Source organism: Homo sapiens, chromosome 15 (genome assembly GCF_000001405.40).
Source record: "Homo sapiens chromosome 15, GRCh38.p14 Primary Assembly".
NCBI lineage: Eukaryota > Metazoa > Chordata > Mammalia > Primates > Hominidae > Homo > Homo sapiens.
The window spans coordinates 61,643,172-61,668,733 of NC_000015.10; the positions used below are offsets into that span (position 1 = coordinate 61,643,172).

The 25,562-nt window shown below is 42.4% G+C and overlaps 1 long non-coding RNA gene across 3 annotated transcripts in view; it reads right to left on the minus strand.

Annotated features, from left to right (window-relative positions):
- LOC107984782 (uncharacterized) overlaps positions 1-25,562 on the minus strand; it is a 208,325-nt gene that overhangs the window by 136,310 nt on the left and 46,453 nt on the right. For 2 of the 3 annotated variants that reach the window (XR_001751570.2, XR_007064667.1), the window contains exon 1: positions 10,018-10,074. The exons of the other annotated variant lie outside the window; for it this stretch is intronic. This is a non-coding gene — a long non-coding RNA (uncharacterized LOC107984782). Of the gene's footprint in view, positions 1-10,017; positions 10,075-25,562 lie in introns of those variants that run through there. 3 annotated transcript variants of the gene reach the window in all.

A 25,562-nucleotide genomic window follows, 5' to 3' on the forward strand; every position in this document is an offset into this window, starting at 1 on the left:
TGTCCCAAAGTAAAGGGAGGGGGAATTTGTCCATACATAGAAGGTGTCACCTCTGAATCTCTGAGTTTTCTTCTTCCCTGCATCTTAGAAGATCGTGGATGGAACTCTTTCATGATCTTCTCCAGACTTTGAAGTGACATTGCATTGTATCTGCCACCATGGTTTTGGCCAACTTAGATCTCTGCATTGGCAAATTTCCGCTATGCTTCCAAAAGGCAAAACAGAAAAGGTCTTGAAAAGCTGGTCGGCTTCTTTCCTCCAAATCACATCTGAAGGGAATGGAGATGAGGCGTTACCTTGTCACTGGCCTTCTGCCAAAAGAAGCTGACTAAGGGAGCAATCAGATGTCTCTCTGCAAAGGCTGCGCTCCAGTGGGCATACTCTCTTGCCCCCTGATGCCGAGGACTTCTCATTCAGGAATAGCCGCCTCTGAGGAGATACTTCCCCTGCACTTCTGGAACTTCAGGGGATCACTCTGCCCCGTGACTGGATCTCCCTTCCAGCGCACAAAGAATGCCCACCGCTGAGCTGCAAGAGCTGATTATTTCTTCATAAAACATGAGATTTGTGCAGAGGTTGGTGGAGAGGCAGAAGGGGGAGAAAGGGAACGTTTGTGAAAGGGAACATAAATAGTTAATTTGATGATGATTTAGAATGACTCTGGTTGCTGTTTGAGATAAAAAAGCTGCAGTGAGTTCAGAAAATACTAAAATAGGGCCTCATACAGGCATTTCATTTAGATTTAATAAGATTCATTATTAAGAGCATATTTCATGACGATTAAGAATTCTGACAGTCTCCTATCCCCCAACTTTAATGTGCACCACAAAAATTAAAATACTTATTTATACAACTAATGTGTTAATAAGTTCATTTTGAGAAATTCTCTGAACTTGTACAGGCCTTAACTTTTTACACAGGAAAGACAAAGACTCTGAGATGGTAGGATGTGAAAGCCAGAGGCAAACTTATGAGAAACTGCAATCAGAGTCCCCTGCCCGTAACTGAGTTATCAAAAAAAAAAAAAAAAAAAAAAGAGTCAAGTCCCCCGTCTCCCTCCATCTCTTGATGGACACACACATGCACATAGACTTGTGCCTGTCAGCTGCCACCTCACTTCCTCTCTACTTTCTCAGGGCTGGGGGCACTGAGGCCCATCCCCCTAGCCCATTCCCTTGCCTCCAATCTGCTCCTGAGCTGATCTTAATTGGAAGCAGGAAGAACCAAAATAGCCCACACCCTGCTTTAGGAAGTTCCTAGTAGAGAGACAGTCTCCTCGCACCCAATCATCAAGCTGCTTCCTTTGCAAGAATGCCTGCCTTACTTTCACCATTATTCCATGAACAAGGAGCAAGCTCTGGGGTGTGAAAGCCCCTACACACAGCCCCTGCCATCTCCAGGGCTAGCCCATAGCTGAGTCTGCAGGACCAGCCTCCTGCCTCTGTCCCCGCCAACTGGTCTGGCTGGTTTCCTTGACTAGTCCCCAGCTTGAGGCTCCATTGTGAACTCCAGTGTGCTTGATGGAGGCCCTAGTTTTTTATTTCTCTCCTCCCAGGGACTGACTCAGCATCCCCTTGTACTCCTAGGCACTGGCTGGCCCCTGCCAGATATGGGCAGATCTCCACCCATTTGCTCAGTCAAGGACTAAACAAAGAAACACTAAACTCATGTAATCCAGATTTTGAATACTAGCCCTGCCCCCCAGTGGCTGTGGGATTTAGGTAAGTTCTCGAACGTTTCCAAGTCTCAAATTTTCCCTAAAAAATAACGCCTACCTCATAGGCTGTTGTGAGCATTAAATAAATTGATCTCAGTAAAAATGTTTAGCACAGAAGCTCCTGATACACAGTAAACACCTGGTCAATGGTACCTTTTAATATTACTAATGATAGCATTTATCAATGATTAATCTAATATTTGGCCTCCCTTGCTTAGTGTTCATTGCTCTATCCTTTGCTGAGCTGTCTTTTGGATTTGAAACCATTTCTTCAGCCACCATCTCACTGCAACATGGCTTCCTGCCAGCCTTCACCATTGTGATGTTACCAAGGTCCCAACCTGGTTTGCATCCTGGGACCACCTGAGTTACTATCACAAAAGGGTTCCTTCTTCTTTGCTATTCCTGTCATCAATCTGCAAACCATGGGCCTCAGCACCGGCTCAAATGTCTTGACTTCTCCCATAGGACCTCACAGAGTAGAAACGTAATGCAGTTTGGCTGTTGAAATGTATTTAGGCTTTCCTGCCACAGCCCTGGGCCCTGGTGCGCCAACTGCTGCAGCTCTCCCCAGTAAATGTTCCCTTCCTTCCCCAAGTTCATGTCCTGCTCCTTCTCTGCATGCTGTAGTTATTTCCCATGTTTCTTTTGGTTTCATCTATGCCTGTGCACATCCAGTGATCTTCCTAGCCCTGGCTGAGCCCAGCTGGTGGCATCCAGGACTGTAGTGGGTTAAATGGTGGTCCCCAAAAGATATGTCCATAACCTATTTGCCAGAACCTACAAATGTGACCTTCTCTGGAAAAAGAGTCTTTGCTGGACTCTTTGTTTAGGATCTTGAGATGAGATCCTCCTAGACTTAGGCTCTAAATCCAATGACAGGTATCCTTATAAAAGAAAGGCAGAGGGAGATTTGCCACTCAGATATACAGTGAGAAGGCCACATGAAGACAGAGGCAGAGACTGGAGACATGCATCCCCAAGCCAAGCAACTCCTGGAGCTACCAGAAGCTGGAAGAGGCAAATAAGGATTCACCCTTAGAGCCTTTGGAGGAAGCCCTGCCAACATCTTGGTTTTGCACTTCTGAACTCCACAATTGTGAGAGAATAAATTCCTATTGTTTTAAGCCACCCAGTAGATGGTCATTTGTTGCGGCAGCCACAGGAAACTAATATAAGAGCTAAAGACATGTGGGTCGTTAGTCAGCAGCTGTGGTTACATGAAGCTATGAAATGCCCAGTCTTCCAGCTCACCAAAGGCCGATGAAGGAGAGCTCAAGTAACTCACATGAGCTAGATGAGAGGGCAGGGAATGCCGCTACCAACCTGGACTCTGAGGAGTAGAGTATGACAATGGCACATATGTGCACCTTGTAAAGAAGGCTCCTATGGGGAAAACATGAAGGTTGACTTAGAAATATTTAGATAAATGGTGTCCATTTACTCTCTTGCCCTAATCCCCACAGATATTAGGGCAGGCTGGCTGTGGAGACAGCAGCCAAGCTCAAGTATAGAGCTCTGTACACCAGGGTTTTTCTCTCTAGTGGCATCACAAGTTTGGGGAAGTGAGTTTACATCTCTGAAATTCAGTTTCTTCATTGTAAAATGGGACAATTAATACTTCGCTTGTGAGTTAAAGGTTAGAAATAGCAAAGGACCTCGCTCTGTAGAGATACCTATGTTTTTCACCAACATGCAGTATAAGGGATATTTTTATATTATTAATATTTTCAGGTATAACAAGACCTACCGTTTCTTGTACTTCATTTTTTTCTTGCTCCTTCCAAAGAAAAGCTAGAGAGGCTGGTAATTGAAAAAGTGATAAAGTATTAATTCTACATTAAGCATTTAAGAAGGAGGCCTCTGTGGACTTCACACATGGCCATTATCAAGAGCCATAGAATCATGAAATGTTAGTGCCAGAGAGTCTTTAATAACCACCTAATTCCAGTCCTTCATTGTGCAGATGGGGGAAACGGAGGCGCTGGGGGAAGGAACTTGCCCCAGTCATTCAGCGCATCTCTTAGTAACTAAGCTGGTGTCAGCAATTGTGCCTCCTGATCCCTGGCCCTATGCTCATTTTATTTCATCAGACTGCGACGGTGCAGCAAGTACTGTGCATGGCTCTGTCTCCTGAGGACCGAGACAGACTCTGTCTGGCATGGTTAAGGCCAGGTTAATATAAAAATTCAGCTTTGTGAGCCAAGGTCCAAAAATCCATTTTAAGACTTTCCTCTTGAAAAGGAAAGATTAACATTTCTTTTGAAAAATACCTACCCTACATTCATCAGAGGCAAAACAATTTGTTGTTCCCTTGTAATTTATATCAAAGACTATTGTGGGAGAATTAGCTGGGTTTCATCTTTTTAAATGTCAGCACATATGACCCATATCTGTGTAGGCATGTGAGTATAAGGTTATAACAACATTTGAAAGGATCTTAAAAAAGTGTTTTGCCACAGTTAAAGTGTGATCAAAACACATCAGTTCAGGAGTCACAATATTTATCATTTTAATATTAATAATGTCATTTTGCATAAAGAACCATACAAGAAATAATTCTATTAGGACTATAAAGATTTCCATGCTGGGAAAAAGGGTAAAATATTCAGAATGTGCCAGAGAGAGAGAGAGAAAGAAAGAGAACCAGCAGTGCCACTAACACAGAATCCAATTTCTTTTCTTTGCAGATATTTAAAGCAACCATGCATTCCCAAAGATAGGGACAGAAATCGACAAGGAAAAGGAGCAATTTATTTATGAGTCATCTATCCTGCAAGTCAGTAAATGAAACCTATCCAAAAAGAAACTGTGTTTTATGGCTTATGGCCATGTAAATTAAGCTTACTCGAACTCTTACAGGATGCTTAGAACAAAACCTTCTGAATTAGGAGTTGGTCAAGGGGAACACAGGGATGGCATTTCCCACAGCCTGAGACGACATACGTAAACAGTATCTTTATATGCAGGACAAAACGGATCTAAAAGGAAACACTAGACCCAGGAGCTGTGTTAGTGAGAAACAGAAGCATCATCTCAGTGGGAGCAGGGAGAGCTCTTTCAAAGAGCTTCTCTGGGTGGGTTGTTGAGAGCCAGGCTGTGTGGCAATGGAGCTTTGCTCACAGGTTTTAGAGACAGAATGCCCAAGTTTGAATCACAGATTTAGCATGTGCTGGCTATGTGAGCATGGCTAAATTATTTCAGCTCCCAGCCTCAGTTTCCTCTTCTAGACAGTGGGAATTATTCAAGCACCTACCTTAGAGGGTGGTTATGACAGTTAAATGAGATAAAAATCTGTGCAGAGTTTAGCACCATGCTCAATAAACATTAGTTAGTATTATTATGATTATTTGGGTTTCACTCCGTTATTCCCCAGAGGCAATACGGTGAGTAGGTCAGACAACCTGGACCTGAGAGCTGGCACCATCATTTAAGCAATGAAATTCTCTGTTTCTGGTTCTTCATCTGTAAAAGTGGAATAATGCAACAACATGGATGTGGAGACAGTCAACCCTAAATCCAAATTTCAGACCTGCCATTTATGAATTGCCTGCCTCCACCTCAGCCATAAAATGGGTTCAGTAAAGCTTGCTTTGCAGGACTGTCATAGGAGTGAGTAAAATGCCGTATGTGGGATGCCCTGTACAAATCAGATACTTAATAAAATCTACTTCCCATTTTCACGTTTTCCCTTCCTTCAGGCACTTCAAGGAGAGAACATCTTCCTCAATTCTCAAACCATACACATTTTTTAAAAAATTACTGTCACATATACAGAGAATATCTCAAGAATCTCAAAACAATACTGATTTCCTCTTACATCTTCACCTTCAGAGCGTGTCCTAGGAAGAAACACTCAGCATGTATTTTTGCTTTATTTCCATGGCTTAAGTGTTCCAAGCTACAATGTATATTTAACAAACTGGTCCTCCCGTTCCCTTTGCAGAATGGCTACTTTCTTCTGCAGAGGTTCAACCATTTGGTACCATTCAAGCACATTCTCCATGCCATAAAAATGCTATCCTAGGAAGATGTTTAAGATTTTTCCATGAAGTGGGAACTTGAAAATTTAGAATTGTTTCAGTTACCTACTGGGTTTTAGAGACCAAGAAATCTCAAACTTGAGAATTCAATGCAGCTATCACTTTTCCAAATGCATAATAAATTTAGCTTTCATTTGCTTGCTTGGGAGACTCCCCCAGTAGTGCAGCCTCATCCATGATCAATGGCAGAGCAGGAGGAGAACGTCTAGATCCCACTGCTTTGTGGGATTAAGATGTTGCAATTCTTCTGTTTCATAGGAATCAACGCAACCAACCCCAACGTACAATGATGACCAAAGACACTCCCACGCCAAAAGGGGAACCAAGCAATAGTTTCTTTCTCAGTAATACAAGTTATGCAGCAATCCTTGTTTAAAATCCCCGGCTGTACAACTGGATATGGATGCCAGAAGCTAGAAATGGCTGGGCCACTTCTGGTGGAAATCTCAGGACTCAAGTTGCAGATAAGATCATGCTATACCCTTTCCCCAAAACTCTGACTTTCCACTTGATAAAACCTAGACCCTCCAGTGTGGTGGTTCAGCTCTTCATGGTTTGGCTTCCCTTAGCTTTTCCAGTCATTCCTTCAAAGACATGAAGCTTCTGTCATACCCGCAGCTTACCACTCCCCAGGCACCGTGCATGCCTTCGTTCTTCTGTGTTTTCCATCTTCGGCGGTTCCCATGAAGGTCCTTCTTATTCTTTAACAATTGAGCTCCTACATATCTTGCAAAAGTCAGCTCCAAAGCATCTACCACATGAAAACTTCCTTGATCTCCCCAGTTGAAATGGTTTGCTCATATATCATATCATGTTCCCGCTTAAAACATCCCAAAGGGGCTGTGCATAATGGCTCACACCTGTAATCCCAGCACTGTAGGATGCTGAGGTTGGAGGGCTGCTTGAGCCCAGGAGTCCAAGACCAGCCTGGGCAACATAGCAAGACCCTGTCTCTATAAAAAAAAATATAAAAATTAGCAGAGCATGATGGTACACACTTCTAGTCCCAGCTACTTGGAAGCTTGAGGCTGGGGGGAATTGCGTGGGCCCAGGAGTTCAAGGTTACAGTGAGCTATGATCTTGCCACAGCACTCCATACTGGGTGATAGAGTAAGACTCCACCTTAAAAGAAATCCTGAGGGCTTGCCATTGAATAGCAACATATAGACCAAAACCCAAACTGACCCCTTGACAGTCTGGCTGCAGCCTTGTTCTAGGCAGTGCTCCTCACTCTCTGGATTCCGGCCTCCATGGCTTTTCTTTCATTTTCTAACAGGAACGAGGTTACCCCTTAACACTGGGCCTCCCTACGCGCTGTGCCTTCTGCCTGGAGTTCCCTTATTGTCCTTGCCCTCTTCATCCTATTAATTCACATTTTTCCTTCCTTAAGATCTCAGTTCAGGCATCATTTCCTCAGGGAAGCTTCCAAGATCTCTGTGACAAGACCCAACGTCCCTTGTCATAGTCTCTATATTTGCTATAGCGCCATGTCTCCCCACCTTATGGCCCACATCTCGGTCATAATTTTATATGGTTTGACTTAATTTGTGTCTTTCTCCACCCTAGGAAGGAACTCTGTGTGTTTGCTCAGCCATGGATCCTGGGACCTAGTGCAGTGCCTGACGTGGGATGGGCACGCCATCAATATTTGTTAGATGAGTAAATGATGACACCGAGAACACAGGGCAGGCTCACCCTTCTACAGTGTTAGTGTCACTAGACAGCTCTGACAAGATAGGGACCACAATTCCATATCATTGCCCTTTTACTACTTATAATGAGTTGCTCATTTGTCTGAGTCCTCTGAAAGGCAAGAGCTGCTTATCATCATTTTTTTTTCCTTCTTTTTTTTTTTTTTTTTTTTTTTGAGATGGAGTCTCGCTCTGTCACCAGGCTGGAGTGCAGTGGCACAATCTCGGCTGACTGCAACCTCCGACTCCCGGGTTCAAGCGATTCTCCTGCCTCAGCCTCCCAAGTAGCTGGAACTACAGGCACGTGCCACCACGCCCAGCTAATTTTTGTATTTTTAGTACAGACGGGGTTTTACCGTGTTGGTCAGGATGGTCTCAGTCTCTTGACCTCGTGATCCACCCACCTAAGCCTCCCAAAGTGCTGGGATTACAGGCATGAGCCACCGGGACCAGACTTGTCATCATTTTTTATCTTCTATCACCTCCCTACACCTAGGTCCTAGCACAGTGCCTGGCACCAACAGGTGTCAACTGACTGCTGAAATGCAAGTAGCCTGGGTTGCCTGGCATGCACATTGCTTGCTCCATTTGTGTAACTGTGAAAGTCATGTCAGCCATCCATAGATAAAGCAGGATTTACAGCAGCAGCCACAGTGGGTTTCAAGGACTTTGCAGGCCACAGAGGGAACGAGGCATCACAGAGAAGCTGCAGCTCCCAAGAGCAAGAGGACCAAGCAAAATCAAAGTCTTGCTGATGAAGCAGCATAGCCACGGTGCCTCAGACAGGCTGCAGAACCCCAGGGGGTCCAAGGGAGTGCCAGAGCCCCCATTCAATGAGCAGTTGTAGAGTGAATTCTGCTGGCCAGGGAGTTTTTTTCTGGATGTGATTCATGCAGTTCACAGAGACCAAAACCTACTTTGTGGCTTAGAGCAACCTTCCCCTCCTTCAAAAAATGCACCTATGCATACGCACAAAAAAAATATGCTTTTAATTTCAGGCAATTTCTGGACATGTAAGGCATATGCATTGGCCCCATAGCCCCACCTTAGTGAGTTATGCAGTCCAGGTTAAGAATGCCCAATTTAATGTATAAAGAAAAAAAAAACCCCTGAATATATTAAAAGATATTTAGACTTTGCAGGGCTAATTCTTTTTTTTTCTTTTTCTTTTCTTTTTTTCTTTTTTTGAGATGGAATTTTGCTCTTTTTGCCCAGGCCAGAGGGCAACGGTGCGATCTCAGCTCACTACCACTTCTGCCTCCCGGGTTCAAGTGATTCTCCTACTTCAGCCTCCCAAGTAGCTGGGATTACAAGCATGTGCCACCATGCCCGGCTAATTTTTTTGTATTTTTAGTAGAGATGGGGTTTCACCATGTTGGTCAGCTGGTCTTGAACTTCAGACCTCAGGTGATCCACCCACCTCGGCCTCCCAAAGTGCTGGGCTTATAGGCGTGAGCCACCACACCCGGCCTCTTTTTTTTTCTTTTAACATTGGACAGAATTTATCCAGATGTTAGACTCAAAGCATTTTTAGCTACAGAAGAGAAAGGCAGTGACAGTCAGATATGTTTTTCCTGCCTGTATTACAAGGAATAATGTAGTATTAATTTCATTGAGTCCAAATCAGAAAAATAGAAGAAAATTTTGAAAGTGTTAGTTTAGGAATTTGTATCCCAGAAAGAATTCAGGATTTAGTCCAAATTGCAGAAAATAATAAAAACTCAGAAACAACAGCCTAGAATCTAACAACAGTTGAGAGTCAGAGTCTCTGACAATACTTGCAGTTTTTTAGAATGTCTGTCCCTGCTATGTTCGCCTGTTAAAAGGGGCCTAGGTGGCAAATAATTATTGTTGCTGCATGTTATACAAATAACCAGGCCAGCATAATAAGACTAAAACTTATTTTGTAAATAAATGTGTCCCACCATGATGTGTCTTTAGTAAACACAGGGACTAGAGAAATATTATGATTCAAGAAAATAAACAAAAAAGCTGTTCTCTCTTAGGCTCACCCAGGTTGCAAAAAAAATAATGGTTTAACAGAGACCTGTATGTCCTGAGCCAAAAGTGGGACATATTGCCTGACTAGGGATTTATGCTTCTTTTTTGTTTTCTGGGTGCCATGAGCGTGATGTTTCTGTGCCAAAATACTAGGATTTTTACCACTCTGATAGTTTTTGTGAGGACAAAGAGAGAGAATAGTTGAAATTAGGGCTGCCCCAGAAAACCTGGGCCACATGATTATCTTCATTAAACTAAATCACTTCAAATCAGGTGGGTATACACCTGGATTGCTCAATGAACTAGTTGATTAAATCTCAAAGACTGTCAAATTGTGAATAGGGGCGTGGAGGCGGGGTGGAGGGACCACAGAGAGGAATTTCTGGACTGAGTCAGGGAGGGGTGAGCAAAGCTGTGCAGGGAGGGAGCCATACTCAGGGACCCAGGGTCATGCTTGAGGGTGGGTAGTCAAGGCAGAAGCAGCAGCCAGAACCCGAGGGAGCAGGGAAGGATCAAGAAACACAGAGGACCCGAGACGGAGACATCCAGGCCCAGTAACACCTACTTGCTGGAAATCAGGGTAGCGGGAGGTCTGCAGTCAGCCCAAGTGTCCACAGCTGTCAGGAAGCACAAGCTGTGAGGAGATCCTGGAGGCAAGGCCACACCCATCTCCAACGCCACTGCCTAGGAAGTGGTCAGCCTGGGCTCAAACACAGCAACTGGGAGCCATCTGGCAGGAGCTTAGGTGGGAAGGAAATGGCCCGGCAGACAAGTCCACCTCCTGCGTGGAAAGAGGGGTATGCTTGAGGCTGGAAGGAAACTTCTGGAACACTTAGGAGACTTCCAACAATCTTTCGCTTACAAAACGAAGCAGCATGAAATCATGAAATGAGGTTGGCTTTGAAGCCTGGCTTTGTCACTTACTAGCTGTGTGATCCTGGAAAAGTCACTTACATCAGGGCAACTGCAGAACTGCCACTTGCCAGACCTGGTTTATGTCTGTTGATTTTTTGAGAAAGAATTTTATTCTTAAGAGTTTTTGAGTATAATTATTTTGTACATTCAAAAATATAATAAAACCAATTTTTTTCAGATGATAAATACTGTATAAGTATTTTTAGCACTCCTTTTTACTGTTCAAAGTGTCCCAAGTTGGGTGACTTATCTCTAAGCTTTGGTTTACCTATCTGAAAATAAGAAAATCAATTCTTTTGAGAGTTTTTTATGGATCATACAGAACCCAGAAGAATACTTACAATTCTCTTTTTCATGATAATTTCCTCCTCTGGCTTTCTTAGAAAACTGTATGGGGGATGGTTGAGAAGATGGGGATCTCAGCAGGAAAGAGGGGTGAGGGAAGCTGGTGTGAAGCCCCTCCAGAGGCCTTGTGTTCCCCTGAGGCCCACTGGCAGTTCTCACAGCTGCAGCTTCTACTAGAGTTTAAGGAGATGGAAAAGCTCCCGGGGACGGAGATGGAAAAGCAGCCAGCGCTTCCAACAAGTTCACCTAATCCTGAGGCTGGGTTCACTTAATCCAACACCAGGTCTCTGACATTTCTTTGGTTCCTGTTCTTCCATGTGCCCCACCCCGCAGCAGCCTCATTTCAGCTGAGTTCCTGAACTTTGACCCCCACCTGACTCCCAAGACAAGACGGTGCTACGCCTCATTCTGCAGATTGATGCAACTCACTTTTCAAAGCAACTACAGGCATGGCACTTGCTAGTCCTGGAGTTACCAAGAGAAAAAGACCTGGGCCCTGTCTGCCAGCAGGGACCTACCTTCTCTAGGGATCTCGGTGGCTGTCTTTAGCCCACAACCCAGCCTCTGCAGCACCATCCCACACTGGCTGGTGTTAGAGCAGAGGGAAATCAACATGCAGATGTCACTTGTGTCCTGGGGACTCCTCAACGTGTGCTACCCATCAGGTCAAGCACTTCAGGGTCAGGGAGGTGACAACATGGTGGCCCTGGATTTGTGACAGGACCCCAGACTGTGGCTGAGGGCCCAAAGCACAGCCTCAGTGGGCAGGAGAGTTTTATTTAAATCATTTCTTCACAGTACTGCAGGAACAATTCAATTTAAAATCGTTCAGCATCCCAGATGACTAGGAGAAGAAAAAACCCATTAGCTGCTCTTTGAAATTAGCAGTAAATGTCCCACAATGTGTGTGTGTGTGTGTGTGTGTGTGTGTGTGTGTGTGTGTGTGTGTGATGTGTGTTTGGTAGATGAAAACAAAACAATCTTTCTGCAAACTGAGCAGATTATCAGAAAATTTCTCATAAACTATTCTGAAAATACTGCTCTTGGAAGCCTCACAAAGTGATTATTTAGGTAATAGGACAGGGGTCTGGACTGGTCCCCTGTAGAGCTGGAATTTCCTTTCACAATCAGGCCTGTCCTATCCAGAGGGTTATTTTCGAGGCAGTGAGGAAATACTTCTGAGAGGACGGCCTGTCCCAGCTTTCACTCAGATCAAGCAGACCTCTGGAGAGAAAGCTCCAGGCTCGGGTCGGCCTGGACGGCAGGCTTCTTCCCACGTTCACACTGGGTTCTCAGCCTGTGGACTGGCCTGCCGACAGCTCATGGCTGAAGTCAGAGCAGAGCGAGTGCTCCAGGCTGAGGACACCTGTGAAGGTCACAAAGACAACAGTGTGGCGTGTCCAAGGAGCGTGCGAGGCCTCCTTCACTCGAACTTGAGCTACTCTTGCTTTGAAATCTTCACTTCAGTCTCTACTTTCTCTAGTCCCTGCCTCTCCGGATGTACTTCTGTTCCACTAAATGTGTGTGTTAGCCCGAGCAGGCCAGAGAGTATTTTAGATGACTCCCCTCCACTGGCTGGTGGGATCTGGAATTATTCTGCTGTCTGGACTCCGTTTTCTTATGTCAACTTCCCCTACTCTGGATTGGCCCAGTGTACACAGCAGCTGAGCTGTTCCTTCCATGAGCCCTAGCCCATTTCCCTAGGACCCTGGCATTAGGCCTTGTCTTGGGCAGCCCTCTCCTGCAGAGGACTAAACCCCGAGTCCTGTTTCTGTAGCAACAGCGTAGGGTCCTGATCACCCAGAAAAGGCCACCCAGCACATGGCATCAAATGTCACTACCACCAGGAAATTCCTATGGGCATACACTGCCCTCAGATCAGACCCTCTGATACCTGTGCAGTCTGAATCAAGCCCAAGTATGCCATGTACCTTTGGACACCATGATTTGAACTCCAGCACCCCCTCAAAGCCAGCCTACATCTGGGGCGGTCCCCCTGGCTTTGGTCCATACTTCCTGGCCTGGTCCATCAGGTCCCCACAACCTGGTCCATGATCATCTCTCCTGCTTCATTGCTTACTGCTCCCCACATCCTCCATACCCCAGAAACACAGAACAACTACAGTTTTCCAAGCATGCCACACTGTTTTCTTCTTGTCTTTCTTCCCACCCTCCCCCTGCAAGTTGAAAATGGCACAAGGGTGAGGCCAATGACGTCTGTGTTCTGGAAATCTATCCTCTAAGCTGCCAAAAGAAATACATGGAAGAAGAGCTCTCACTTCAAGGCTCCTAAATTTTCATGAGTGCTATTTTATTGCACAAAACACTGCATTATGCCACGATAGAGATTGCCACAGACCTGGGTTGCATTACAGACCTAAGAAAACCAACACCCCGAAGTCAAAGAGCTATTGATTTTTATCAATGCTTCCAATCCTCTTTGAAGTTAGATTTCTTGACATTCCTGGGGTCCCTAAGAAGTAGGTTTTTGGTTTACGTCTAAGCGTTTGGCGTAGTCCTCCCATGAGCCTTTCTGCCAAGTGGCTTGAGCACAACACAGCCCCTGAGAGATCTCCAGCAATTCCTTCTGTAGAAACAATGTCACAGCTTCCTCCTTATCACCCTGCCTATTGAACTGCCCCGGTTGGCTTATTCACCAGATCCATTCATGGCCCTGACAGCCCCAAGAATTTCTCCACAATAACACACTTCGCAGTCCCCAGCCTCTCCTCTGTTCATCCGCCCACTGCCGTGCCGAAGGCATCAGCGGGTAACTTCAGACTTTATGCTCAAGAGAAGAAAAGCGCCAAGTTCAAGCGAGCATTATGATTGTTGCTGCTTCTACAGGAAAATGGTTCCCACGTGAGGGTCAGTTCATATTCAGCGTCTCAGTGGTATGTCTTCCTTCTATCAAAAGGCTGCTCCTCTGATCCCATGAAGAAAAGAACTGGAGAAGATGGAGTTGGATGTAAATGGAGAGAAAATTAATGAAGTCGTTTCTCTGAGGAGTACAAACCTTACTTCTTATTATTTCCCATCTACCACCCTATCCATTGACTTACACCCTGCATAAACTGCTGAGCCTTGTGTGAGCCACTTAAGCTTTCTCTTCCTGGGCTTCTTATCTATCAGATGAAGGTATGAATATTTGCTCCAACTACTTAACGAGGGCAGATGTCACAAGACAATATCATTGGAACTGCGCTTGAAGACATTCATAAGCCGTTAGAAACAATGCTTCGCCAAAGCATCTTCACTATAAGCCTATGGATGCAATGTCATATTAATCATGTTTCTGTTCAAATGGAAATAATTCCATTTCAGTATAGCACACATTTATTGGACTGATCACTGGGGATGGAGACATGAGAAATTCGCGAAGTCTCTGCCTTTCCTGTGTTCTCTGTCTACTTACAAATAATTGCCATAGAGAGCTATGAGTGGCAGGGGAGCAGGCAGGAGAGTATGGTTAATCCTGCCAGGGAATTCAGGGCAGAATTTACAGAGAAGGTGAGCTCTGAGCTGTCTCTTGAAGGTGGAAAAGATGAAAATTTTATTTAGGTTAAAATATTCACTAAGGAATTAAAGGCCACTGAAGGAATGTTTAAGATGGAAGGGAGCTGTGGGGTCATGGAAGAACTAGAAAATTGAGGTCAAGGTTTAAAACCACCAGTCTGTCATTACAACAATGATAGCTGAATGCCAAGAAAATGGTTTCTTGAATTATCAGCTGAGGCAGCCAGCAGCCACCCTTTCCACCCGCTGCAGGGTGCTGTACTCACCTCGCCGTGACTGAGAGTAATACTGAATGTTTATACAGCACCGAGCACCCTTCAAAGGGCAGGCATTTGTATCATTTGCTCCTTAAGAGGCCATGCCCTCCATCAATATCAAAAGTATTTGCAAAGGACATATATTTATCCCAGAACCAATCATCCCATTTGTGAAACAAATCCAAGTTTATTAGGACTGATGTTGCAAACAATTTTCTAATTATGTAAATGAATAAAATCTGTTTAATTAATCTCTAGGCTTTACTTGCATTATAAGAATAAAATCTGTCTTTATCTTATTATGGGCTTGCTATTTTCAACAACTACCAAGAAGGGAACATTGAAAATTGTTAGATATGGCAGAACTAATTCATCTAACAAGGTCAATGTCCAGTGGCAATTCTAGAAATTCCATGGAATGTAACAAAACTCCCAACTCATGATATAAAATAGACTTATACGGAGGGGGAGTCCATTTCAATTCAACTAACTGTAGTCAGTATGCCCTGCTTTAGCATAAGCCTCCTGCCTGCCTGCACAACACTCTAGTTCTTTATTTTATGTGTGTGTGTGTGTGTGTGTGTGTGTGTGTGTGGTGTTGTGTGTGGAGAGAGAGAGAACCAAATACTTCCCATGTTGTATATACACCTTGCTATTTAATATTCCTTTGCTGTTCATTCCTTCTTGTACCTCAGTCCTGTAATCATTTTTTTCTTTTAAGAGTACATTTTTAGCAATTCCTTGAATGACGGTCTGTTGGTAGTAAAAATCTGTATTTTTTAGTTTTGCTTTGTTTGCCTAATGTTTAAATTATTATTATTTTGCCCTCATTCACTCAGTTAATCATTTTAGGTTGAGAGTTACTTTCTTTCAAAGGCATTGGTGATATCATCATACTCTACCAGCTTGCAACATTACTGTTGAGAAGACTTCCTTGGTCTGACCATCCTATGTAGGCAATCTCTATTTTCACCTGGGCAGTTTCTAGGTTCCTTGGCCTGTAGTTTTGCTGTGATGCATTTTGGTGTAGATTTCTTTTATTTATCCTGCATGGAGTTTATTAGATATCCTGAATCAAAGGATCTGAGTCTTTCTTAGAAGTTGTTTATTCTCTATATCTTTTAGAGTTCTGCTTAGACCTCACCCTTGCCTCATTTGTCTTTTAACGTCTCTGTCATTTTCATGTCTTTTCCATTCTGTGCTGAATTTTGTGTATTTCTCTCAGTTTCAGTTCACTAATTTTCTCTTTGGCTGTGTCTATTCTGGTCTTGGGGGTCAAAGGAACTGGAAGATAGGGCCATTTAAGTTTTTATGCTTTTGTATTGAGATACAACTCACATAATGTACAAGTACAAATCTTTAAAGGGACAGCCTGATGACACTACAGGTGTACACACTCATGTAGCCACCATCTGTATCAAGATGTAGAACATCTCCAGCACCCCAGAGGCCCTCCCTCTAGCCACTTCTCAAACAGCACCCTACCACATGAGGTCACCTCTATTCTGACCACAATCAACCTAGATTAGCTTTGCTTGTTTTTGAACTTTCTATACATGGACTCATATAGTACATATGCTCTGTATCTGGCTTGTTTGGCTTCATATTTTGACTATGATGTTTATCCATGGTGTTGCATTAGCAATATTTTTCTCTTTTCATTGTGTTGTAACGTTCCATTATATGAATATATCACAATTTACTCCTTCTGCTATTGATGAATTTTTGCTTTTTTTTAGTTTAGGGCTATTATTTCACTGAATTTTTTATTTCAATTACTTTTTTATTTCTAGACATTCTATTTAGTACTTCTTCAGGTATGACAGGTCATTTTTGATAGCCTTTCACTCCTTATTCATATTTTTGCTTTCCTATTTTATTTCTTTAAATGTATTAAACATGTTAAACACTCAAGGTAATTATTTGCTGTTACTGGCTGTCTCTGTTGACTCTCACTCATGATGCTTTATTTTCTTGTATGTTTTGCCATTTCTGAGCTCATGCTCACTGGAACTCAGCCTATGAAAATTCTTTATGAATGAATCGAATCTGAGTTCCTTTAGAAATTTGTGTTCACTCCTGCTGAGTCTGCTTTAAATTTGAATTCTTCGCTTGTGGTTATTTAGACCATGCAAACACTGTGAATTCAGGCCTTGAACCTATGTTAAAGCTGGTATATTGCCACATTCTCCACCCTTCAATAGCCAGTTTAAATCAGTCAAGGTTCTTTGCCATCTGACTCTTTGGCATATACATTTTTTTCCAGTTCACTCTTTCCCTGAGAATGTTGTCCTTCATCGGTCCCAGCTTTACCACAGGATTACACCACTGGCTTCTCTCCCGAGTGAGGTCTTTTTATCTGCCTCCCTTACACATAGGCACAGCTACTGAAGCCAGAGCTCTTGATTAACCTGGAATTTATTGGTACTCAGCAACTTTGACCATCACTTACCTCTCCGGACTCCTACTCCCCTTACATTCTCAACCATGGGGAGTTTCTCTTGCTTTCTGGTATGCTTAACTTTTATTTTAAAATTATCATATATCAACATTTTGTTAAGTATATTTAGATAGTCTAGCTGTTTTGTCAAGCATATTTAGGTAGTTAAAAAACTAGTTCACTGTCTCTCCAGACCTAGTAGTCCGCTCAAGCTTTCTAATCTTCAGTTTTCACCAAGTCAAACAGAATGTCCTTTAATGTTTATCTTTCAAAATACCCCTTAAACATCTCCTCTCTGTTCTCCTGCCTCCCCACTCTACAATGTATTCCTCTCTTCTGGGTACTTCTTGGTATCTTTATCAAAGTTGTTATTTCATCCCACAGGCCTGCCTCTGTCACTGAATTCTACCAGATTTGAAGCTTCCACAGGTCAGGGCTGTGTATATGCCTGGCTCAGAACCAGCTACAGAACCTAGCCCAGAAGGAACTATACTAATGCTTATTGGAATGAACTCAGCTGATGGTTTAACAACAACAACAACATGTCCCTAGGGCACTGAATCCTGAAATCCTCAAACTCTCCTTAAAGGTATCTATGGAAACTGTAAGCAAACTGCATATGCAAAAGGGGCCTTTCCACGCAAGGTCTGTGGCATCAAAACTGCAATCAAAATCCAGAATTTGATGACACACAGCAGTAGCAGCAGTAAACACTGCTGAGCCTGGATGGATGCCATCATCTCATTCCCATGGAATCCGATCATTACATTTTTGTTTTCAGCCCCAAGTTTCAGGGTATGAAAGTATTATCATACTATTTCTTAAGATATTTACAAAGAGCTAAGGAATTTTTCCTGTTCTGGTGGATTTTATTATAATACCGACATTTATATTGAAATCACAGGAGGACAAGAAGTACTTTTGAAAAATTATTTTCACCAGACTCTTTATTGTGTTTCCCAGAATGGCCAGCATTGAGTAATGGGTTGTATCGTTATGTGTGTGTGGCTGGATACCAGATACTAAGGTCCTCAAAAACCCTACAGCATTTTCTTTCTTCATGAAATAAAATGGGACATAACATACGGTTGAGCAAAAAATAAACTACAGAAACCATTAATATGGTAACTAAATTGAATGTAAGCCTGAAATTTATTACCCAAGTGAGTTTGTAGGGTGATACCACCACAATCTTATTTCAAGGGTAAGCAAGATCAACTTAGGTGGTCCTTTAGAATGATAGTGATTGGAGAGGGTTGCAGATGACTTTATTGAGATATCTTAAGTGCTGCATAAATTCTAATGGATATATCAGCTTTTTCTTCAGGCCATGCCAGCCTGTGTGCACAAAAAATAATAATAATAAGGTAAAGATAATAGTACAATCAGTCATTCCACAGCTCAGCCCTCACTAGCTACTAGAATGCTGTCTCTGGTGAGTCCTCCTTTAGATTGAAGGGCTGGACATGGAGGGTGGGAAGGGGACAACTTAAGAGTGTATGGTCCCTGATGTGTCATGCCACCTTCTGGTACCATCTGATACCACGGTCACACCAAAGAGGTGTCTAACTGCTCCCAAGTAAAAGCTGAGTACCCAGTGCAACTTAACAAAAGATGCTTTCCTCCAGCATCCTTCCAAACCTGTGACTATGCAGCCGCTCTGCAGAGCCACTGTGGCTAACTTTTTAAAGCCTAGGTGGTAGATTATTCCTGCATTGCATCCAAGTTTTTCATGTGCCTGCATTACTCCCTTCAGCAGCCTCCTCCCACACTGACTCTCAGAGTGGTCATGTGACTTGCTTTGGCCATGGAGACAACAGCAGACTTTCAAAATGTGGAAACGTTAAAAGTACTTGCACACTGGGGTTTGTTCTCTCTCTTCTAGTTCTTGGAACTGTTCTCCCACCACAAGAATAAACCCAGATTAGCACCCTAGAAAAATGAAAGACCAAATGAATCATCCCCACTGAATATCCTATCAGACCAACAAGCCCCAGCAGATCTGGCAGCTGACTTTATACATAACCCAGCCAGGATCAAAAGAAGAATCACAAAGCTGAGCCCAGCCTGGTCTGCCAATTTACAGAATCATGAGCTAAATAAATGGTTGAGGGTTTAAGTCACGGGATATCAGGGTAGACTGTGAAAGCTAACTTATATAGCCTTTTACAAAGATGTAAAAAAATAAAATACGTTCATGGAATGGCTGGTAAAAGAGTTAAGAGTATGCAAAAAGCAAAACCCTAGACCTTATACAAGAGACTACAGACCCTTCAAGAGGCATAAGACCCAATAATTGGGTTATCATCTCGTTGGTGTAATTTCAAGAGGTTGTTATAAAGCCCATTTGTTCCAAATATCTCTCTCTCCAGTGAACCTCCTGTCTACATCAAAACTTGCTGAAATTCCCACGCAGTGTCCTGTAAAGGGGACAGGGCCACATAATAGTTAAGAGCTCTGGAATCAGACACTAAAATCAATACTGTATTCCTCCTCAGTTTCATCCTTTGCAAATCAGGGAGATAATAGCAGCTGCTTCATAGAGCTGTTGTTGTAAAGAGTAATAATGCCTATGTAGTGTTTGGTGCCATGCCCGACACGTATCAGTGCTCAAAAAATAAGCTTGTCTTATTAGATTGAGAGTTAATCCAAATAATTAGCAACCATTTATTACTTATCATAGGATAGGTATTACCCTTAATGCCTCTATGTATACTACGCCATTGAATCCTCATAATATCATTGTGAAGTGGCTATTACGCTCCCATCTTAGAGATGAGGAAACTGAGGCACAGAGGGATTAAGTAGCTTGCCTGGTGTTGCACAACTGGGAGGTGGCAGACACTGACCCCAATCCTCATGCTGTCTCCCAGCGCATCTTCGCTTAATAGTTAAGAGCTAAGTTCTAGTCTGTGTGCACTAGGAATTAAAGTCTCACTCTTTGAGATAGCAATTATAAAACCTTTACGAAATGTGGCTCCACACTGCGTTTTTATCATGTTAATAGGCTTTCAGTACTTTGTCTGTACTGGGCACTGCCTGGAATGTTTTCCCCACAATCCTCTCCCACCTCTTATTTAAAATAATTCTTATCATTTTAGGTGTAGTTCTGAAACTACTTCCTGGTAAAATGTTCTTAGATTTTCCTAGAGGATAAAGGTGTGAGTCCTGGAGTCAGACTATCTCTTCTGGAATCCCAGCTTCTACTACTGCCAGCTACTAATTGTGTGAACTTGGGCAAGACACAACCTCTCTACATCTTGGTTTCCTCATCTTTAAAATGTAAGAAATGATGCCATTTCACAGATATGGATGGACAAATAGATGGATAGATAGACAGGCAGCTAGCCAAGCACAGTGATTGCCTTAATCCAACCATGAGTTCTTACTCTAGGCATTTAAGCTCCCTGATGGAAATTCGGTTTGTTCAGTCATAGTTCAAACTTTAATGGGTTGGACCACATCGATAATTTTCAATGACTGTTGCTCAGTGTTTTACAATGACTCTCTTTTTTCAAACAAATTCATACATGGATACTAAAACATGAAACAGATTACCTGCAGAGTGGCTGTGCTTGAAAAGGGCTGTGAAAGGCAGATCTTAGCTTCCTTCCCCTAAGACTTCTCGGGCACCTCTGAGAAACCTGGAGAACACTTAGAGCCCCCAGCTGGACCTGCCCTTTTGTACTTCAGACTTCTCCTTAGAGAGGAGCCAGATCCCTGACTTCCCATCCCCCAGGTGAATCTTACTCCCAAAACTAACCTGTAAAACATGAATAAAGATATTTCTGAAGGGCAAAATAAGCTCCCAAGTCCCCAGAAAATTCTGCAGGGAAAAAGATGAGTAATGTTCAATCGACAGCCCTAACATAGAGTGATCCTGGTGACCTAACTGTGGCCTTATGAATTCAGCCCTCTTGAATTGTTCTCTCAAGACATGGAGATATTTGGCTCCTGTTAGCTACCCATGAGCCTAAAATCTTGCAGCTGCCAACTAGTCTTAGGTATCAGTAGGAACTGACAAAGATTTGTAGTAATGAGGATATAGGAGCTACTTGAAAATTTCAAAAAACTCAAATGTCAATGTTCAGTCTGAGACACCAAAATCCTTCGCAACTGATAGGAATTACATCAGTGGAAGAACTTAAGCTCATCGGAACTCTAATTGGCAGATGTATATGTCTCTGTTGAATAAACATATTATTGCTTCATAAAATCAAGTTATTTCAGACATAAAACCTCTTTAAACATAGCATCTGTTGAGAAATCATAATAGAAAATGTTCATCAAGTGCTCGCTTTGTACCAGGTGATTTCTATTCATACCTCATCAAGCCCGTGAAGCAAGCATTAATTTCTTTGCAAATGAGGAAACCAAGTCAGGAAGGCTAAATTGATTTTGTACGGCCCCATAGCAAGCAAATAATGGCACAAGACTTAAAACTGCTGCCTCTTTCATTCTTAACGTTTCACACCTCACTCTGCACTGGAACACTTCTCTGCTGATGAAAAGACTGCTGTCTAATTCCCCAGCCTCTAAGAGTGACCACTGAATGAATTCTTTAATAACATTACTTCTTTCAGAGTATTTCTCACAATGCATAGAAATCACCGGGGCAGGTTTTAAAATGCAGATGGAGCCCTGAGATTCTGATTCAGTGGGGCCTGGAGTGAGGCCTGGGAATGCCCATTTTAACTAGCACAAGAGATGATTCTGGTGCAAGTGGACTTCAGTCCCTACTTTGAAAACATTGCCTCTAGGATGTAATCCATGTTCCCAATAAAGAATGTCTTCAGAGACTATGAGGCTTGACTTTTATTTTTCTGTCTGAAAAGTTTCCAAACAGTTAGAAGCTTCTACATCAAGAGTTGCTTCTTAGAGTTAATAGGGATAGAACATGGCTGATATAGAGGACAATCCTAAATTTGTTCCGGTCTCCCGTCACCCCGGCCAGGAAGATGTCACGAATTCTCAAGGCTAGCTGTCCCAAGACAGTGCATGAATAGGAAGAGAAAGAAAGAGCACTCCTGTCTTTCCCCTTTGAAACATAAAAGGTAAAGACTGCAAGGAGAATGCTGATGGTGACAGATGTAAGGAGTTTATTATATATTGCAGAGATCCAGATTAGGAAAAGCGTTCTAAATCCAATTTTTCTACTTAAAGCAGAAAGCAAATAAGTCCATCCTGGTGTGCCACCCGTTTCACAGAACTCACTGACAGTAAGTCTGTAGGTTGTTTGGGAACCTGGCCACAGTGCCAAGTGGATGGAGTTTTGAGGATGTAATCATGGAACTAATCTTTTGCACTTAAAAAGAATCTGATTAGGGTGAAGCCTGGTGGGACGATGTTTTGCTGAGTTTCAGGGTAAAGTGACCAGAGACTGCAGAATCTGAATGGGATGGGGAGGGTCCCAGCAGGCAGGATAGAAGTGACCTTGTCTTCGAAGTGCTAACAGATGACACCTGCACCATTCCTTTTCTATTTTCTCTCTGAATTTCACATTAAATTGAGTGTCAGATGGCAAGGTGCTGTCAAGATTAACCGGAGCCCTCAAACAAATGCCTTTTACAAGCTCTCACTCCCTAGATGATCAAACTAATCAATTTATCTGCCTGGCTGATAACTTCTGTTTCTCCAAATTTAAAAATAAAGTCAGAAGAATTCCGGGAAGATGGCTAAGCAGTAAAAGTACAAGGAAATCTTTTTCCCAGAGATTCCTTATAGTACCTGTTAAGCCTTATAAAAGAAGACTTTTGTGTAGCCACAACGAGAAGCAAGAAACAACCATATGCAGATGCTGGTGGGAATTTATAAAGTGGTGGGTCACGGATTAAAAATCAGTGACTGTCAAGCTAACTTCTTGGAGTCCCATGTATCTTTCTCCAACTCCAATGAGCATTTGGGTCACTATACCGAAGCATGTGTACTTTCTATGCAGGAAGTTCAAATATCCTTTGAATCTACATTTTCTTAAACCAAAAGACCTCTCAGTCTCACTGGAAGCTTCCTTCTGCTTCTGTGGACCCAGGATCTTAGAAGGCCATTGGCTTCTGGCTGACATCTCCCTTCCAACTGAAATAAGAATTACTCCTGCAATGGGGACTTTCTCCTCAATCTCAATGCTGTGAGTTGCCTAGAGCTCTGTTCTCCAATATGGTAGCTACTAGCTACATGCGGCTATTCAAATTCAAATTAATTTAAATTAAATCTAAAATTCAGATCCTCCATCACACTAGCCACATATTAAGGGCTTAATAGCCACATGTGGCTACTCTATTGGACAGAGCAAATATAATATTGTGATGATATAGTATCATTTCAGTAAGTTTTCTTGGACAGTGCTGACATGGAGGTTTGGAAGTACCTGGAGCTGAGCATACAATTCTTTCTACAAGACAGGAATTGCTCTGTTTGACCTGAGAAAAGGAATGCACAGTGCTTGGGCAGAACATGAAGTGGCTGATGGCGAACCTCATTTCCTGACTCCTTGCCACTACGGGGCCAACACTTCTCCTTGCTTGAGAATGAACCAATAGGAAAAGAAGAAAATGAAGTCTATGAAAATAGTCAGGCTGGGTATGATGGCTCACATCTGTAATCTCAGCACTTCAGGAAGCCAAGGCGAGAGTATCACTTGAGCCCAGAAGTTTGAGACCAGCCTGGGCAACATAGAGAGACCCCATCTATACAAAAATATTTAAAAATTAGCTGGGCATGGTGGCATGTGCTGGTAGTCCCAGCTACTTAGGAGGCTGAGGTGGGAGGATCGCTTGCATCTGGGAGGTTGAAGCTGCAGTGGGAACTGTGCTTTTGCCACTGCACTCCAGCCTGGGTAACAGAGTAAGACCCTGAGGAAAGGAAAGGAAAGGGAAAGGGAAAGGAAAAGGACCCAGTGAAAGACAGTAAGAACGAATTCTTGCAGCATCAGAATAGAATTCTTTCTTTGAAATTGATTTACTCCAAAACAATACCAATGTTAGGAAATAACTGCTTCCTGTTCTCAATAGGATAACATTGGAGATGACTCTAGTTGAATCAAAAAAGACTGCTCAAAAAAAAAAAAAAAAAGACTGCTCCAAAATAAAATTGAAGTAGCCAAATAGCAACTGTCTTTTGATGAATGACGAAGAGAATAAGCTTAAGAAACACTCCTACAATTACAAGAATTCCTGTAATTCTTGATGAAATCTGTAGCAGCTTTCAGTCCTGATTGATCTATAAAAATGAGACTTTCAGTTATGAAAATTTCCACTCATAAAATAAGATAACAAAAAATTGTGGGATAAGTGAAAAGACCAACAGTTTGAAAGAGGTGAACCAAGCTGAAAATTTTGAGGCAAATAGTTCCAATTGAAATAGACTGAATTCGGGAAATTATATATCACTCTTCTTGAATATATATATTTGCGTATTCAATAAAACAAGAGCAAGTGGAGCAATGGAAAATACAGAAAAGTTATTGCATAATACAGAAGAGTTATTGGAAAATGTTTTAAATCATTCTATCTTTAAAAAAGAATTGAATAAAAGTAGTGAGTAGCAAAAAAGTTACTAAAAAAAGACAAAGAGGAAATCATTTAAAAGGCATGCTGGTGAAATTCTTTTATAGCTAAAAGCACAAATGTAAATTTCAAGAGAACATATAAGAAGCAAAGAAAATGGATTCAGTAGATCTAATTCTTTTACACCAGAATTTGACAGGGAAAGAAAACCTAAACTAGCAATAATCAGATTTTTTTTATTAAGTAAAGAAATTTGAACACGCATTTAGCAATACTAGAACCCCATTGAAATGACAGTAAAGAAAAGGATGAAATATAAAGTTGAGGAAATCTCACAAAAAGTAAAACAAGAAGACAAAGAGATAGAAAATAAAGGGAAAATGTAAGAAAATCAGAAGACTAGTTCAGGTATTCTAATATTTGAGTAACAGTGGTTTCGTAAAGTATTGAAAAGAAAGATAAAAAGCCATAGCAATAGAGATTGCAATGATAATAGCATTCTAAACACAAATACCACAAGTGAGAAGACAGTGAAGCAATGCCTTTCCAATGTATAACTGTATGCCCAGCCAAACTTTCAGTTAAATATATAAGTACAATAAAGACATTTTCACACAGCAAAGGTCTCAAACATTTTACTTCCACAGATTCTTTCTCAGGTAGTTTCTAGAATACGTGCTTGATTAAAACACAGGAAAAAATCAACTAAGAGAAGAAATGGAATTGAGGAAACGGATTCCGTACAAACAAAGAGCTAAGGAATCCCCCTTAGCTGCCGACTCCAAGACAACAGCTTTGTCGCAGGCCTTTGGGCAACCAGTCCAGTTTGGAACTGATCAGAAGATTCCAGGAAAGGAGACAAAATAGAATAGTTAATTTGCTGAACACAGCTGCGATAGCCCATAGTATCATTCATCAGATATTTCATTTCTCCTTCCTCTGGGCTCACAGTTATAGTGCACGTTTCTCTGTCTCTTGAAATCAGAGATGGCAATGTGACTGACTCTGGCTAATGGTGCAAGAGGAATCCTGTAAGAGCTAGTGCCTGACCACGTCCCCCTTCCGCGGGCGTCAGCAACTTCTCACGCTCCTGAAGATAGAGGCTCATCTGCCTAGGCCCTGGAGTAAAGAGATA